Source organism: Homo sapiens, chromosome 8 (genome assembly GCF_000001405.40).
Source record: "Homo sapiens chromosome 8, GRCh38.p14 Primary Assembly".
NCBI lineage: Eukaryota > Metazoa > Chordata > Mammalia > Primates > Hominidae > Homo > Homo sapiens.
Genome location: NC_000008.11, coordinates 72703703 through 72722370, shown reverse-complemented (window position 1 = coordinate 72722370; position 18668 = coordinate 72703703). Strand labels below are relative to the sequence as shown.

Below are 18668 nucleotides of genomic sequence, written 5' to 3'. Positions count from 1 at the left end.
GGGCATCATGGTGATTTGCCTTAATTGTGCAAGCAATGAGAAGCCATCCAACCATTTGAAAGGATCTTGGCAGGTAAGATTTACAGTTTGGAAGATCATTCTGCCTGCAGGGTGGAGAACAGACTGGAAGGGGGGCCAGAGAATGTGCAGGAAGGTTGGTGAGGAGGTGCATGCTGCTGGGGTTGTTGGCCACCAGGATAGCCTGCACAGATGATGGTGGTAGAGAAAGTGTGGTCAGATTTGAGAAGATATGAGGAGGCAAATGTACAGGATTTGATGATAGCTTTCATAGATGTGGCAAGGGGACTTCAGGGAGGATCCTGGGGTTCCCAGCTGGCATAGCTGTGAAAACTAGGGTGGTTATCACTAAGACAGCACATGCTGGAAATGGATCAAGCACGGACTCTCAATGGAGAAAAGAGTGCATTTAGTCTCGGACAGCTTGCTCTTGGGCCATTCAGGGGAAAGTGTCCAGTTGGCGGCTGTATATTTAGGTCTGGAGCTCAGAGAAGGAGCACAGAAACCATTGGTTCAAGTTTCTATTGCCCAGTTATGTCAAAGAGGAAGGTGCATGTTTGCTTTTTGGGGTCAGTAGTGGGTAGAACAAGGAACTTCAAGCCACACAACTGATTCCAGACCCTCCCTGCTCCATGCAGACTCAATGTCTGCATTTGTTAAATGAGAATGATGGTGCAGGGTGGGGTCTGAGTAAGGTGATTTCATGTCTGTGAGGGCACAGAGTTAACTGTAGAGTCCTGCACCAGGGATGAATGGCTCTATACTGACCACTGAGCCACTGTTACCTTCCCATTCCTTCTGCCTTTGACATCTTATTTTTCTTTTGTTTCTTACATTAGCCCAGTCAATAACCTTACTCTCACTTTCTTTTAGGTAGCAGAGATGTAACAATATTGAGGATGTATTATTTACCAGATTTCTTGCTAGATAGTGGGAATATGGCTGGAATAAAGAGAAGAGGTCTTTGTCCTCATGACGCTTCTATTTTAAAGGAGAAAAGAGCACACTGAACTCATTTCCACATTATCACCATTCAGCAGAGTTCACCAGCAAAGACAGCAACCCCCGGATGATGTGGTGTATGTGGGCTGGGCTTGAGAGAGATCCAATAAAGAAACGTGTGTCATAGCAATAGCAGTATATACACCAGAGGCTGTGTGAGCCAAGAACGGGATAAAAGGATGATGTTAGATGATGTTTCAGTTTCAATTTTAAAGTTTCAGTTTTTTTAGTGTATCTTTAATGTAGGCATAGCCTCACTTAGAGATTATGACAAAGTCCAGATTTGGAGTTCTTTGTGAATTCAAGGCCAAGGTTAAATGAAACTTCATCTCTCTCTTACCAATCTTTAAAAAGCTCTGATCAGCTAGTTTTATTGTATCTACACAGTACAAAACAAAATGTGAAGACTTAATAGAAATGGAAGAAAACTTACTCAGAAAATTTATGTCTAAGTAATAAGTACTTGGAAAAGCATGAGAGTTATAACGAAAAGTATTTAGATTCACTGATAATTTATAGTATCTAGGGTGGATCATATGTTATTGAGATTGAGTACCGTGGCATGCAGTAGTTGCTCAATAAATGTCTGTCAAATGACAAAACCCAACCTATGTTCATTATGTTCATTCACTCATTCAACTAGTTTTTATCAAGTGTCTACTATGTGCTAGTCACTGTGCTGGGCCCTGGGGACACCAAGATGAATGGACCCATGACTGAGTAGGGGAGAGAGTGCAGACAACTAAGTGTAATGCACTATGATGAAGGTGACAAGAGAGGTAAACAGAAAATGTGACTACAGTGAGGAAACAAATATGATGGGAAGAGTGTGGAGAGTCGGGAAAAGTTTTGCAAGGAGATAAACTTGACCATGAAGGGCTTTTGAAAGAAAGATTCCTTTTGAAGATGAGTTTAAAGAAATTGGGGAAGACACACTCTGAGGGAAATTTAGAGAAACCACTGTCAGGTGAAGAATTACAGCAAAACAGCAAGGACTAAGATGCAGAGAGGTTTTCTCCAGAACAGATGAGGAAATGGAAAGAAGAATACATGTCTTCTATACATGACCATTATCTCTTGCTTTTTGACACCTCCAAACTGAGTCTCAGTAAACTGACCGGCTAATATATCTCCTTCCAAGCACCAAGATATCAGTGTACCTTGAGAGATCGGGACTTAGTCATGTTTGGAGTTCAGTGGCTAACAGCTCATCTCTGAAGAAGACAGCATAAATATATACTTAAAAACTTATGGTACAGTGTGTTGATGCGAGACTGAAACGTGCAGGGAGATAAAATGGGTAATTAGCCCAGGCTTGGTCATTAACTGCTTTGGGCTCCATTTTTCATAGACATCAAGGAGCACCATCATGAATGCTTCAGAGCCTCTGAGGGTTTTCTTCAGAATACAGACAGGAAAGACTGGCCATCTTACCATCTGTTTCTTAACCATCTTCTTTTTCCTGTTATATTTTCTTATGAAATTCATTTTTCCTAGGATTTTCCTTTTGTCTTTTTGGCTCATTGTTTTTCAATTACAATCAAATATTCTTTTTTCATTCTTTTGTTTTGTTTTATTTTTTTTAAGCCACTAAAGTACTGCAAGTGCCAAATGCCACTCCCTGCTCATGATGCCTCCCTGGTAGATGGTGAGGGAGCAGAGCAAAGGAGGAAAGTGTGGAACCTTCAGGCCCAGAAGCTTTTTTCTACTTTTAAATTAAAAGGAAACCAATAGGAGGACATTTATAATGACTTAGGCAGATAGAAAAGTAAGAGGTAATCTAGAGTTTTTTTTAATATACATATGAAAACGCTAGCCACTTGGCATACTAAATTGGTAAGTGCCTAATTGCTAAAGAAATCTATTTAGCAATAAACACAACAGGATATTTTCAGCAGGAAAGATCTGAGATGAAAGGAATGTCACTATTCTCTGTACATTAAAAGATAGACAAAGTAGATTGTTTTATGCTTGTTGTCCCCAAGAAAATTGAGTTTCAGAGACTAAGAGAGCAGGGCCATATCTTCCCAGTGCTTCCACTATTTCCACAAGAACATGGAAAAGTCAGGATTTAATGGGAGCTGAGTTTTTCCTTATAGATGTGGCTAATACCATGGGTTATGTGCAGGTCGAGGGAAATATCAAAAGGAGTTTAAAACAGTGATTAGAGAGAATATTCCATGTATTCCCATTGCAAGGTTAGACTTGATTCCAGGTCTAACTTACCAGCAAAAACAAACAAACAAACAAAAAAACAAAGCAAAAGAACAAAACAAAAAAAAAACACTGTTGCCTCTCTTCAGATGTTTTCTTCAGATGTTTTCTAAAGTCTCTTGTTACTACTATTTGCCATAACCCTTATCTTGACATTTGGGGTAAGTATTCAGATCTACCAAAAGGTGGGGGAAAAAAATCTCGCCTTATGACTCGGCCAATTTATTCCCATAGTATTCTCTAAACCTCGGTTTTCTTATTCAGAAGAAAGAGGGGAGGAACCCCATAACAATACTCACCTGTTTTTATTTTATTTTATTATTATTATGCTTTCAGCTTTAGGGTACATGCGCACAACGTACAGGTTTGTTACATATGTATATATGTGCCATGTTGGTGTGCTGCACCCATTAACTCATCATTTAGCATTAGGTAGATCTCCTAATGCTATCCCTCCCCCCTCCCCCACCCCACAACCATCCCTGGTGTGTGATGTTCCCCTTCCTGTGTCCATGTGTTCTCGTTGTTCAATTCCCACCTATGAGTGAGAACATGCGGTGTTTGGTTTTTTGTCCTTGCGAAAGTTTGCTGAGAATGATGGTTTCCAGCTTCATCCATGTCCCTACAAAAGAGATGAACTCATCATTTTTTATGGCTGCATAGAATTCCATGGTGTATATGTGCCACATTTTCTTAATCCAGTTTATCATTGTTGGACATTTGGGTTCGTTCCAAGTCTTTGCTATTGTGAATAATGCTGCAATAAACATACGTGTGCATGTGTCTTTATAGCAGCATGATTTATAATCCTTTGGGTATATACCCAGTAATGGGATGGCTGGGTCAAATGGTATTTCTAGTTCTAGATCCCTGAGGAATCCCCACACCGACTTCCACAATAGTTGAACTAGTTTACAGTCCCACCAACAGTGTAAAAGTGTTCCTATTTCTCCACATCCTCTCCAGCACCTGTTGTTTCCTGACTTTTTAATGATTGCCATTCTAACTGGTGTGAGATAGTATCTCATTGTGGTTTTGATTTGCATTTCTCTGATGGCCAGTGATGATGAGCATTTTTTCATGTGTTTTTTGGCTGCATAAATGTCTTCTTTTGAGAAGTGTCTGTTCATATCCTTTGCCCACTTTTTGATGGGGTTGTTTGTTTTTTTCTTGTAAATTTGTTTGAGTTCATTGTAGATTCTGGATATTAGCCCTTTGTCAGATGAGGAGGTTGCAAAAATTTTCTCCCATTCTGTAGGTTGCCTGTTCACTCTGATGGTAGTTTCTTTTGCTGTGCAGAAACTCTTCAGTTTAATTAGATCCCATTTGTCAATTTTGGCTTTTGTTGCCATTGCTTTTGGTGTTTTAGTCATGAAGTCCTTGCCCATGCCTATGTCCTGAATGGTATTGCCTAGGTTTTCTTCTAGGGTTTTTATGGTTTGAGGTCTAACGTTTAAGTCTTTAATCCATCTTGAATTGATTTTTGTATAAGGTGTAAGGAAGGGATCCAGTTTCAGCTTTCTACATATGGCTAGCCAGTTTTCCCAGCACCATTTATTAAATAGGGAATCCTTTCCCCATTGCTTGTTTTTGTCAGGTTTGTCAAAGATCGAATACTTGTAGATTTGCGGCATTATTTTGGAGGGCTCTGTTCTGTTCCATTGGTCTATATCTCTGTTTTGGTACCAGTACCATGCTGTTTTGGTTACTGTAGCCTTGTAGTATAGTTTGAAGTCAGGTAGTGTGATGCCTCCAGCTTTGTTCTTTTGGCTTAGGATTGACTTGGCGATGCAAGCTCTTTTTTGGTTCCGTATGAACTTTAAAGTAGTTTTTTCCAATTCTGTGAAGAAAGTCATTGGTAGCTTGATGTGGATGGCATTGAATCTATAAATTACCTTGGGCAGTATGGCCATTTTCACAATATTGATTCTTTCTACCTATGAGCATGGAATGTTCTTCCATTTGTTTGTAGCCTCTTTTGTTTCATTGAGTTGTGATTTGTAGTTCTCCTTGAAGAGGTCCTTCACATCCCTTGTAAGTTGGATTCCTAGGTATTTTATTCCTTTGAAGCAATTGTGAATGGGAGTTCCCTCATGATTTGGCTCTCTGTTTGTCTGTTATTGGTGTATAAGAATGCTTGTGATTTTTGTACATTGATTTTGTATCCTGAGACTTTGCTGAAGTTGCTTATCAGCTTAAGGAGATTTTGGGCTGAGACAATGGGGTTTTCTAGATATACAATCATGTCATCTGCAAACAGGGACAATTTGACTTCCTCTTTTTCTAATTGAATGCCCTTTATTTCCTTCTCCTGCCTGATTGCCCTGGCCAGAACTTCCAACACTATGTTGAATAGGAGTGGTGAGAGAGGGCATCCCTGTCTTGTGCCAGTTTTCAAAGGGAATGCTTCCAGTTTTTGTCCATTCAGTATGATATTGGCTGTGGGTTTGTCATAGATAGCTCTTATTATTTTGAGATACGTCCCATCAATACCTAATTTATTGAGAGTTTTTAGCATGAAGTGTTGTTGAATTTTGTTAAAGGCCTTTTCTGCATCTATTGAGATAATCATGTGGTTTTTGTCTTTGGTTCTGTTTATAGGCTGGATTACGTTTATTGATTTGCGTATGTTGAACCAGCCATGCATCCCAGGGATGAAGCCCACTTGATCATGGTGGATAAGCTTTTTGATGGGTTGCTGGATTCGGCTTGCCAATATTTTATTGAGGATTTTTGCATCAATGTTCATCAAAGATATTGGTCTAAAATTCTCTTTTTTTGTCGTGTCTCTGCCAGGCTTTGGTATCAGGATGATGCTGGCCTCATAAAATGAGTTAGGGAGGATTCCCTGTTTTTCTATTGATTGGAATAGTTTCAGAAGGAATGGTACCAGTTCCTCCTTGTACCTCTGGTAGAATTCGGCTGTGAATCCATCTGGTCCTGGACTTTTTTTGGTTGCTAAGCTATTAATTATTGCCTCAATTTCAGAGCCTGTTATTGGTCTATTCAGAGATTCAGTTTCTTCCTTGTTTAGTCTTGGGAGGGTGTATGTGTCAAGGAATTTATCCATTTCTTCTAGATTTTCTAGTTTATTTGCGTAGAGATGTTTATAGTATTCTCTGATGGTAGTTTGTATTTCTGTGGGATCGGTGGTGATATCCCCTTTGTCATTTTTTATTGCATCTATTTGATTCTTCTCTCTTTTCTTCTTTATTAGTCTTGCTAGCAGTCTATCAATTTTGATGATCTTTTCAAAAAACCAGCTCCTGGATTCATTGATTTTTTGAAAGGTTTTTTGTGTCTCTGTCTCCTTCAGTTCTGCTCTGATCTTAGTTATTTCTTGCCTTCTGCTAGCTTTTGAATGTGTTTGCTCTTGCTTCTCTAGTTCTTTTAATTGTGATGTTAGGATGTCAATTTTAGATCTTTCCTGCTTTCTCTTGTGGGCACTTAGTGCTATAAATTTCCCTCTACACGCTGCTTTGATTGTGTCCCAGAGATTCTGGTATGTTGTGTCTTTGTTCTCGTTGGTTTCAAAGAACATCTTTATTTCTGCCTTCATTTCGTTAGGTACCCAGTAGTCATTCAGGAGCAGGTTGTTCAGTTTCCATGTAGTTGAGCGGTTTTGAGTGAGTTTCTTAATCCTGAGTTCTAGTTTGATTGCACTGTGGTCTGAGAGACAGTTTGTTATAATTTCTGTTCTTTTACATTTGCTGAGGAGTGCTTTACTTCCAATTATGTGGTCAATTTTGGAATAGGTGTGGTGTGGTGCTGAAAAGAATGTAGATTCTGTTGATTTGGGGTGGACAGTTCTGTAAATGTCTATTAGGTCTGCTTGGTGCAGAGCCGAGTTCAATTCCTGGATATCCTTGTTAACGTTCTGTCTCGTTGATCTGTGTAATGTTGACAGTGGGGTATTAAAGTCTCCCATTATTATTGTGTGGGAGTCTAAGTCTCTTTGTAGGTCACTAAGGACTTGCTTTACGAATCTGCGTGCTCCTGTATTGGGTGCATATATATTTAGGATAGTTAGTTCTTCTTGTTGAATTGATCCCTTTACCATTATGTAATGGCCTTCTTTGTCTCTTTTGATCTTTGTTGGTTTAAAGTCTGTTTTATCCGAGACTAGGATTGCAACCCCTGCCTTTTTATGTTTTCCATTTGCTTGGTAGATCTTCCTCCATCCCTTTATTTTGAGCCTATGTGTGTCTCTGCACGTGAGATGGGTTTCCTGAATACAGCACACTGATGGGTCTTGACTCTTTATCCAATTTGCCAGTCTGTGCCTTTTAATTGGAGCATTTAGCCCATTTACATTTAAGGTTAGTATTGTTATGTGTGAATTTGATCCTGTCATTATGATGTTAGCTGGTTATTTTGCTTGTTAGTTGATGCAGTTTCTTCCTAGCCTTGATGGTCTTTACAATTTGGCATGTTTTTACAGTGGCTGGTACCGGTTGTTCCTTTCCATGTTTAGTGCTTACTTCAGGAGCTCTCGTAGGGCAGGCCTGGTGGTGACAAAATCTCTCAGCATTTGCTTGTCTGTAAAGTATTTTATTTCTCCTTCACTTATGAAGCTTAATTTGGCTGGATATGAAATTCTGGGTTGAAAATTCTTTTCTTTAAGAATGTTGAATATTGGCCCCCACTCTCTTCTGGCTTGTAGAGTTTCTGCTGAGAGATCCGCTGGTAGTCTGATGGGCTTCCCTTTGTGGGTAACCTGACCTTTCTCTCTGTCTGCCCTTAATATTTTTTCCTTCATTTCAACTTTGGTGAATCTGACAATTATGTGTCTTGGAGTTGCTCTTCTCGAGGAGTATCTTTGTGGCATTCTCTGTATTTCCTGAATTTGAATGTTGGCCTGCCTTGCTAGATTGGGGAAGTTCTCCTGGATAATATCCTGCAGAGTGTTTTCCAAGTTGGTTTCATTCTCCCCATCACTTTCAGGTACACCAATCAGACGTAGATTTGGTCTTTTCACATAGTCCCATATTTCTTGGAGGCTTTGTTTGTTCCTTTTCATTCTTTTTTCTCTAAACTTTTCTTCACGCTTCATTTCATTCATTTCGTCTTCCATTGCTGATACAATTTCTTCCAGTTGATTGCATCGGTTACTGAGGCTTGTGCATTCATCATGTAGTTCTTGTGCTGTGGTTTTCAGCTCCATCAGGTCCTTGAAGGACTTCTCTGCATTGGTTATTCTAGTTATTCATTCATCTAATTTTTTTTCAAAGTTTTTAACTTCTTTGCCATTGTTTCGAACTTCCTCCTTTAGCTCGGAGTAGTTTGATCTCCTGAAGCCTTCTTCTCTCAAGTTGTTAAAGTCATTCTCCATCCAGCTTTGTTCCATTGCTGGTGAGGAGCTGCGTTCCTTTGGAGGAGGAGAGGCACTCTGATTTTTAGAGTTTCTGGTTTTTCTGCTCTGTTTTTTCCCCATCTTTGCGGTTTTATCTACCTTTGGTCTTTGATGATGGTGATGTACAGAGGGGTTTTTGGTGTGGATGTCCTTTCTGTTTGTTAGTTTTCCTTCTAACAGTCAGGACCCTCAGCTGCACGTCTGTTGGAGTTTGCTGGAGGTCCACTCCAGACCCTGTTTTCCTGGGTATCAGCAGTGGTGGCTGCAGAACAGTGGATATTGGTGAACCGCAAATGCTGCTGCCTGATCGTTTCTCTGGAAGTTTTGTCTCAGAGGAGTACCTGGCCGTGTGAGGTGTCAGTTGGCCCCTAGTGGGGGGTGCCTCCCAGTTAGGGTACTTGGGGGTCAGGGACCCACTTGAAGAGGCAGTCTGCCCGTTCTCAGATCTCAAGCTGCGTGCTGGGAGAACCACTATTCTCTTCAAAGCTGTCAGACAGGGACATTTAAGTCTGCAGAGGTTATTGCTGTCTTTTGTTTGTCTGTGCCCTGCCCCCAGAGGTGGAGCCTACAGAGGCAAGCAGGCCTCCTTGATCTTTGGTGGGCCCCACCCAGTTTGAGCTTCCTGGCCACTTTGTTTACCGACTCAAGCCTGGGCAATGGCGGGCGCCCCTCCCCCAGCCTTGCTGCCGCCTTGCAGCTTTATCTCAGACTGCTGTGCTAGCAACGAGTGAGGCTCCGTGGGCGTAGGACCCTCCAAGCCATGTGTGGGATATAATCTCCTGGTGTGCCATTTGTTAAGCCCGTTGGAATTGTGCAGTATTAGGGTGGGAGTGACCCAATTTTCCAGGTGCCGTCTGTCACCCCTTTCTTTGACTAGGAAGGGAATTCCCTGACCCCTTGCACTTCCCAGGTGAGGTGATGCCTCGCCCTGCTTTGGCTCATGCACAGTGCACTACACCCACTGTCCTGAACCCACTGCCCAGCACTCCTCAGTGAGATGAACCCAGTACCTCAGTTGGAAATGCAGAAATCACCTGTCTTCTGTGTTGCTCATGCTGGGAGCTGTAGACTGGAGCTGTTCCTATCCGGCCATCTTGGCTCAAGAGCCAACAATACTCACCTTAAAGATTTATTGTCAAAATGAATAACTTTATGACAAAGTCGTTATTAAATGTAAGAATATTGAAGCACATTAAACTATAACACATGTAAAGCTTGGACCACTGACTGTGGCATTTAATAAGCATCCAGTCAGTGATAGCTCCTGTTACATAATTGTTACCAAAGAAAACCACATTATCCAACTAAAAGTTAGCCCAGGTCACAGGACCAGCCCATAGAGGAGTTTGGCCTTCTGAATTATGCCACCAGGCCAACTTTCTTCAAAACAAAAAGCATATCATAAGATAAAAGAGGGTAAGAAACCTTCCAGTGAAATAGGAACCTGTGAGTAAGACACTACTATCTATTCCACCAGTAAGACTGGGGGTAGGCCTTACAGCCTGATGTGGCACCTGGCATGTCCTTAAAAATATGCTCCTTCTTCTCTCCCTTTTCCTTTCCTCTCTTCCTATCACCTCATTGCCTTCTCTTTCTACACTGAGCTTGCTCATATGAGTCTACAAGATAAAATATCTATTACCAATTATGTGCTTTTTCTTTTATAGAAAGTGGTCATCATTAAATGAAGGCAAATTAAAAGGATATTTGAGCATACATTTAGAATAAGTAACATATTAAATAAGTAATCCATTAGGACAGAAGGCAAGTTAATTCACTTTTTCTTTTTCTTGAGATGGAGTCTTGCTATGTCGCCCAGGCTAGAGTGCAGTGGTGTGATCTCAGCTCACTGCAGCCTCTGCCTCTCAAGTTTGAGAGATTCTCCTGTCTCATCCTCCTGAGTAGCTGGGATTACAGGTGCCTGCAACCAAGCCTGGCTAATATTTTTTGGTATTTTTAGTAGAGATGGGGTTTCATCATGTTGGTCAGGCTGGTCTTGAACTCCTGACCTCAAATGCCGCCCACCTTGGCCTCCCAAAGTGCTGGGATTACAGGCGTAAGCCACCGTGCCTGTCCCAAGTTAATTAACTTTTTAAATGGTCCCCTCAAGATCCCGGTGTTTGGCCTCTGGACATGCTGTGCCCTCTGTCAGGAACCCTGTGCACCATCTTTGTCTTTGCCTGGCTATTCATCCTCTAGGGTACATCATAAATATAATATTATGTTCTCTAAAAGGCCTCCTGTGAATCTTGAAAAATGAGCAAGGGTTTCCCTCCTATATGCTCTTGTGTATCCTTTATTGCAGACCTTATTAAATGTTACTGAAGTTCCCAGTTTATAGATAGACTCTTCAGTGTGAATGCACAGGCCACAGCGGGAGAGACAGTGAGCCTGGACCTTGTAGGAGGCCTGGCGCATGCAGGCATGGCATGGGAGTCACGAGTGCTGCTCACAGATACTTCTGGCTCTTGGGAGTATTTGCCACCTGGGCACATGGCAGTATTGCACTTCCTGGCCTGCCCATGGTTGTGTTGGGCTATGCAGATGCTCTGGCCAAGTAGTTTTGTGTGGAAGCAAAAGGTACCACTTCTGGTCCAGAGTAATCAATTGTCAGTCCAAGACCTTATTCAGCTGTCTTTTCCTCTGCCATGAGAATCAGCAACTTTCTAGATACTGGCGCTCCATCAGTCAGGGTCCTGCAGTGAGAGCGATGCTCAGAAGAGCCCCTCTGCTCAGCATCATTGATGGACACAAGAGCAAGAAACAAATCCTTGCCATCACAGACTGCCGGGATTTTGGTATTGTTTGTCACTAGCATAACTTAGCCTATGTTGATCGATGAAGTTCATAATATTGATGAACGAATAAAGAGGAAATAGCACTCTGACTTCTCCATCCACTTAAATAGCCTTGAGAGGCCTTCTAATCCATTGTTTCCCATTGAGGAAAACCTGTACTTTCATTTTAAGATGAAATTTAAATTTCTTTCTAAAGTATCTAGAGATTTTCAGAAGTATATTTGGAGGTTTAATAACATCTTAAGAAATTTTTCTTTGTATCTAACCAAGGAGGTAACGTAATACATAATACAGCATCTCTGGCCATACTGAAGAGTCCTGGGTAGTTTCACTATGTGATTGGGTCCGGGATACTGTAGCCAGGCCACTGGTAAGTCAGCTCAGTGTGAGGCTGACTGTTGCCATTACTGAGGTACATGGGCCTGCTTGCTCTTCCTATCCACTTTTCCTTTAGTTTTTGCTCTTCCTCAACACACACATACGCAAACACACATACCCTTCTTTAGTTTTATATATATATATATATGCAGAGCATGCACGATAACTAAGGCCTCATTTTTGGCTCTAATTGGTGTCTTTAGTTGAAGTATTTATCATTTTCAAGTATTAGTTTCCTATTTGGGGATTATTATATGATTTGAAAGAGATGATATATGAGAAATAAAGTAGAATTGCAAAGTATTAGCCACATCTTTTGGCATGTGATTTGAAGGGGCCCAGATGGCATAACTGCCCTTAAAACACCAATGTTCCTTTGTGTTAGGGTCTCTGAGAAGCCCTTATAAAATTTAAATAGCTCACTCATGGATGGTTGAAAATTTATTCCTTATTTCCCTAAAATATCTGCCAGCTAACATGGTCCTGAGAACATGGGCACGCAGGATAACGATGTCTTGATGGATGATGGGGAGTGGTTCAATAGGCTCCCCGGACTGGGAAGTGCAGACTGAAGGCCATGGACACCTGGGGTATGGGTTACTGAAAATGCAGGAGGTGACAAAGTCAACAGCCCCTACTTTACAGCTTCATTCAGGATCAGGCCAGGCATTTCCCATGACTGTGCAACCACTCAGCTCTAAGAAGCATCTTTGGAAGAAACATCTGTACATTCGGGTACATAGTAACTTAGTGGCTTCATTATCATGAAACAGAGCCATGCTTGACAAGAAAGCTTGGAGACTGCAAGAATCTGGTTATTTAAGAAGGTGATATGGTTTGGATGTTTGTCCCCTCCAACTCTCATGTTGAAATGTAATCCCCAGGGCTGCAGGTGGGGCCTGGTGGGAGGTGACTGGATCAGCGGGGTGGATCCCTCATGAATGGCTTAGCACCATCTCCTTGAGGTGATAAGTGAGTTCTCACTCAGTTAGTTGAAGAGTAATCTGGTTATTTAAAAGTGTATGGCATCTCTCCTCTCATTTTCTCACTCTCTTTCTTGCCATGTGACACACCTGCTCCCGCTTCACCTTCTGCCATGAGCAAAAATTCCCCTAGGCCTCCCTAGAAGCCAAGCAGATGCCGGCACCGTGCTTCCTGTACAGCCTGCAGGACTGTGAGCCAATTAAATCTCTTTCTTCATAAATTACCCAGTCTCAGGTATACCTTTATAGTGATGCAAAAATGGTCTAATACAGAAGGCTAGCCAAATTTCACAGTTAGAAATTTTGTTTTGAGAATCTTCTCTTGTCCTTACCACATGCCAATGTAAATTTAAAAATTTTTTGTTTCACAGAGAAAGTGATAGAGACAGCTTAGGGAGATTTTTCTTTTACTTTTGTTTTTCTTTCTGAAGAAAAAATCTTATTTCTGTTCTTCTAGATACATTTAACTGAAGAGGTTAGGCTCAAACAGCTGGCTGCTTGATGAAAATATGTAAAGGGGAAGTAAATAATGTTAGTACTTAGAGCAGTATTATCAAAGGGTGAACGATGTGTCTCTTTTTTCAGTGCCTGCCATTTTTTATTAGTGACTCCTTAACAATCTGGCAGGATATATAGCCAAGTTACATGTTTGGCTATTGATGTCCACAAGGTAGAAAGGGGATCCTGGGAGAGAGTTTGATTTCTAAAATCTCTCATGTAACTAAGGCTGCAGATAAAAATAGGATAGGAATAAGAATAACCTTATGCCAGATTCTCATTCTTTAAACTGTGTCAGACTTTGGAAACATATTGCTCCCATTATTAAGAAAAAATAGAGGCAAAAAGACATTATTGTGAGTTTCAAAGGTAGGAACTAGGAAAGATATTTAACCACAAGACTGACATAAAACAAGTCTGCATTTGATTCTTGGCTGAGGGGAGTGAGGAACAGGCAGACTCATGGAGATACTGAAATCAAAGACTGAAAAGTAATCACTCTTTCCACTGTTAAAGGGTAAAATGTCTGAATAATTAACACTGGTACAGAAAAGCTTGCAGGGAGATTTGAGGCTTGTTTCAACCCTTGATGAGAGAAGCATTCACTCTAAGATAATGCACCAGAAGATGGCATTCTCTGAAATCAATGGCAACTTCCAGACCATAGTCAACTATTGATTCCTTATTGTACTAGGATAAGTCATTTTGGATGATCTCAGCAAATTAGAACAAAATTGCAGATTCACCTCCACGAGCGCTTAGCTGTTTGTCCAACAATTGCACTGTTGAAATAATGTCCTTTCCAAAGAAAAAAAGAAACTAAGCCAAATAGAGAACACAAATTCTCATAAGAAGCCACATTTCTTCTTACCATCTGTGCTGGAAATCTTTCATTTGCTCCCCAAGTTCTCTCCCCACCCTTCCCGATATCTTGCTCTGGCCCTGGAAGGCTACCTGGACTGGACCACAGCAGCAGGTTCCTTTGCACTCCAGCATCCTGTTGGTTAGCCACTGGGTGTGCTGGGGAGAGACTGGCTGCAGTGGGCTATGGTGTCACATTGGTCTGGATGCCTCCATGGCCCCAGGTCTCAGCTCCTGTCTGGGCCTCTCTATACACAGTCCTTCTGTGGCTGGGTTCTGGTTTCCTCAACTCTTCAGGCCTTGGGGTAGGAAGAGAGCAACTAAACACCACCTCTTGGGGCTCCCCTCTCCCTCTCCACCTTTGTAAAAGGTCCCTTTTTTTGCACTGCCCTCAAATTACCCTAATGCGAATGTGTTCTGTGGTCTGTTTCCTGCTGGCTGATACCTTAATTGATGATTTCCTTGAAAGCAAAAGTGTGTATTTCCCAAATCATATCTAGATGATTAGGAAAATTAGAAAAGAACAGCAACAACACTGTGAGCAGGAAAAACGTTAAACCTTACTCACGTTCTGTTTTCTTATTTAGACAGTGTGCCACTTTTCGTTTTTGAGTTCTGGATAGCCTCTTTATGGGTGTTGAATGTTGGCAGGACTTCCGTATGTGTGGAGATGAATGCTCCCCTGAAGCATGTGTTTGTGGGAGTGGGGTCAGGCCTTCTGATACTGTCTAGCTCATATCACTGACACACCATGCCTCCTTTTGTTCCATTTGAGGCTCTGTGGAAATGGAGATTAAAGAAAAGACCCAAGGAACCCAACCAAACAAAAAGCTATGCTTGCAGATCAATGATCAGGTCGTTAAAGGAGAAGCGAAATATGGGGACAATTAGGAGGTTCCTTTGGAACATAAAGGCATCCACCAACTATTTTTCATCTTCTCTGGGCTCCCAAGAAGAATTTAAATTGCAGCATGAGGAACCTAAATTAAAGATTTTAAGCAGAGCCACTTTTTGTCTGTGAGGGTTATTATTTTTGTGAGGGTTATTATTTTTTAAACATTAAAGTCGGTTATAAGGAAAGTTGTGAAATTACTTTCTCTGGATGTCTTTGTAATTCAGGTTCTTACCTCTCTGGGATGGTTTACTTCTGCCTTATGAAGGCAAGGTTTGAGATTAAATAACCTCTCGTGGTTCCTACATATCCCATTAAGTACTAATTGGAAAGCACCAACTTTTACAAGGTAATATGCAGAGTGGAGTACAAGGTTGGTATTTAACAAAGAAGTCCCAGAGCTGATCACAGGAAGTAGGCAGCAAAACAGAAGAGCAATTCAGCAGAGAACCAGTCAGGCAATGAGCAGCACAAACCCTTAACAAACAGATTCATGAACAGAGACTGGGACTGTGGGTAGGTTAAAGCAGGTTAATTTCTGGAAATATGTTTTTGAGAAGTATGTGATTTAAAGCAATAAGGCCCAATTGTTATTTTTAAGAAATTTGTGGCAACTTTGCCCATCCCTATTCTTCAAAGGGGATTTTATAGTACACAAAAATTATCAGCATATTTTTTATTATATGTGAGACAATGAAAAGACCAGTCATGTTTATTTTCCTAACTCATGGAGTGTTCAGCACAGCAGTGTGCATAGATAGAAACAATAAGACTCCAGAAATGGTTTTGTAAAAAGCTATAAATCCCTGTGCCTATATGCATGAGGAAAAACCTGGCACCATGACACTAACTGGTAATTTACCTTTCTGGGGAAATTAAACAGCAATCCTGATGCCTGAACAATTCACAGTCACCTTAAAGAAAAGGCATTTTATTTAATATGGGTCACTGTGGACTACACTTATATTTTTTTACTTTTTAAAAATGTTGTATTTGATGGTTTGAAACCAACACTCTGAGCCAAAATCCATGATGCACTTCCATCAACAGATCTATAACCAAGTATCAATATTTAGCTATTAGAACAGTGCTACAATTATTTGTAGCAATTATTTTTAATTGTGGAAACTCTGGACTTTGGCTGAGTTTAGTGAGAGGAGGGAAGGATCAGAGTCTTTCTTCAGAAGGGTTTTAGACTCATTTCAACAGATACCTGCACTCTATGCTGACCAGATGCAGGCTTCTTCACAGTCTTTCAGTTTTGCCTTGGCCCTGGAGGGGCCTTCTCTGGGAGTCGCTGTTTGCCATCTTTCCCTCCCTAGCCAGGTCTGCTGTTGGCTCCTTCTAATAGAGGAGCCTCAGATCTAGGAATGGGCCTTCTGCCCTAGTCCTGTAACCAACTCTCCATATAGTAGCACAATCAGGAACCTGGTCCTCTTCTTGTCTCTATAAGTCTGAACCTGTCTGAACAACCTGCATAGCACCTCAGGTCTTTACAAACTGAGCCTCTTGTTTGCACTCTCAGTTCTCCCATTGAGGGTGCTTGGGGTGCCATTATCTGCTATCAGACACCCTGGTAACAATCACTTCATTCTCATGCTACACATGTCACACAAACCAACTCTGGTGTCTCTTAAGATCCATGGACACCCATATTCTCCAGATGCTGTGGTTTAGTTGGCTTGATTGTCTTCCTCCACCAGCCCACAAATTTTGAGTGAGTTCCTCCTGTCTACTGAGCTACCCTACCACTACACTACACCCAAACTTACAGCAGGTTGGAAAAACACCTCCCTCACTTCCATCTTTACAGACACTTGCACAACCTGCCAGTGAGATTTACTTCTGCCCAGGCAGAGTGTCTCCAATGTTATTAATCTTCTCTCCATGAGTGAGATCTAGCTTAAATGCCTTCTAATGTCATCTGTCATTACTCTGACTTTACATTCTATCAGATAAACTGGATTGGACCATGTATGGGAGGGAATTCCTTGATGAAGTTAATGGATGGGAGATGGTTCCTGCATGTAAAATCAGGACAAGATAACTAGGTGGGCTTAGACAACTTTATTAAGCCTGTATGCAACAGAGAGGGGCCATCTCAAGAAAAACGTTCCAGGGATAACAAATCTTCAGCCAAATCACCCTACTGGTAAATAGCTCAAGCTTCAGTCCCCAAAAATGATTAGCTGAAGAACATAGTGAGGAAGTGAGAAAAGATGTCAAAGGGACTCACTCATGCAGAAAGAGAGGGTCCATCTGAGCTAAATAAGATTTAAACCACCCTAGGCTTTATTACCTCCCACAGCTTCATACAGTCAGCCCTCTGTACCCATGGGTTCTGCATCCAAGGATTCAACCAGCTACAGATGAAAAATATTTGGGAAAAAAGCAAGGAAAAATAACAATACAATAAAAAATTAAATTAAAAAATATGGTATGACATGTTTACATAACATTTACATTGTATTAGGTATTATAAGGAATCTAGAGATGATTTAAAGTATAAGGGGGGTGTGCATAGGTTATATGCAAATACTATGCTGTTTCATATAAGGGACTTGAGCATCTGCAGATTTTGTTACCTGTGGAGGGAGAGGGAGGGTTGGAATCAAGTACTGTGCATACTGAAGGATGACTGTATTTGGAGTCACTGCTAAATTCCTCATCTTTAAAGAGATCACTCAAGACAGTAACTCCTGATTTATCTTGAAGCCTACTCCATAGTTTTGGTGCTAGGTAGGAGAGTCCCTCTGAAAGCTGAGGTCCTTTTGGGGACACACTGCTCATCTTATCTGTGCCCTTTGTCTAGGATTACTTGGCTGTTTCACCAATACACACACACACACACACACACACACACACACACACACCAGCTTTCTCTGACAGTATCTCCGAGAGAGCTGTAATAGTTTTGCCATTTCAGTAACTCCTTTCAGATGGAAGACCCCTGGCAAAATTTTAGGGTAATAATAGCCCTTAATAGTTGATTTTGGGCAAGTTACTTGCTTTTCTGAACTCCACTTTCCTAATCTATAAACTGGGACACTAACACAACTCATTAAATGAGATAAAATTATGCTAAAATGTTCTATAGAGAATGAAGAATGAGCCAAATGTTAGTAGTCATTAATGCCATTCCACTTTGGTAGTGCCCTACAACCTTTATATAAAAGGTTATTTGCTCAATAAATGCCACTGACTAAATGACTGATAAAATAATTGGGACTTGAACTCTCTCAATTAACTCTAGCAGCAAAGATCTGTTTTTCATGGTCACTGACATTATCCAAGAATAAATTTTGAGCTGTGAGATTTACGTGTGGGATGACTACCCTCTGGAAACTGTACACTGAAAACTCAAATGCAGACATCAGCTTTGGTTCTAGTTCTGTGAACTTCATCTACTATGTTTACATTTTTAAGCATAGAATCAAAGGCAACATACTACTAACAGTGAAATTAATAGAATGATGCGTGGAAGGATTATTAACTCTCTAAGAATGACATATCCTTCAGTCCAGTGCTTCCTTCCTAATCACACATCGTTTTCATGAGTTGTTTTTATGGCATTCAATGACTTCACATCTCTTGTCCCAGAGCTACTCCCATGGTTTTATTTTAGCCACCTATTACAGTGAGATTTTTTTGTGTGGGGGAGTAGCTATTCT

General features: G+C 41.0%; 1 protein-coding gene across 1 annotated transcript in view, besides 1 other annotated feature; it reads right to left on the bottom strand.

Moving 5' to 3' along the window:
* KCNB2 (potassium voltage-gated channel subfamily B member 2) overlaps nucleotides 1-18668 on the bottom strand; it is a 401125-nt gene that overhangs the window by 215979 nt on the left and 166478 nt on the right. The gene's annotated exons all lie outside the window — the stretch shown is intronic.
* Nucleotides 9263-9437: a silencer, noted in NCBI's record as "fragment chr8:73625169-73625343 (GRCh37/hg19 assembly coordinates)". NCBI's record gives its function as "represses an EF-1alpha promoter that drives an FKBP-Casp9 reporter gene in an ReSE screen in phorbol 12-myristate 13-acetate-treated (for megakaryocytic differentiation) K562 erythroleukemia cells {active_cell/tissue: K562(+PMA)}" and the evidence as "EXISTENCE:reporter gene assay evidence [ECO:0000049][PMID:32094911]".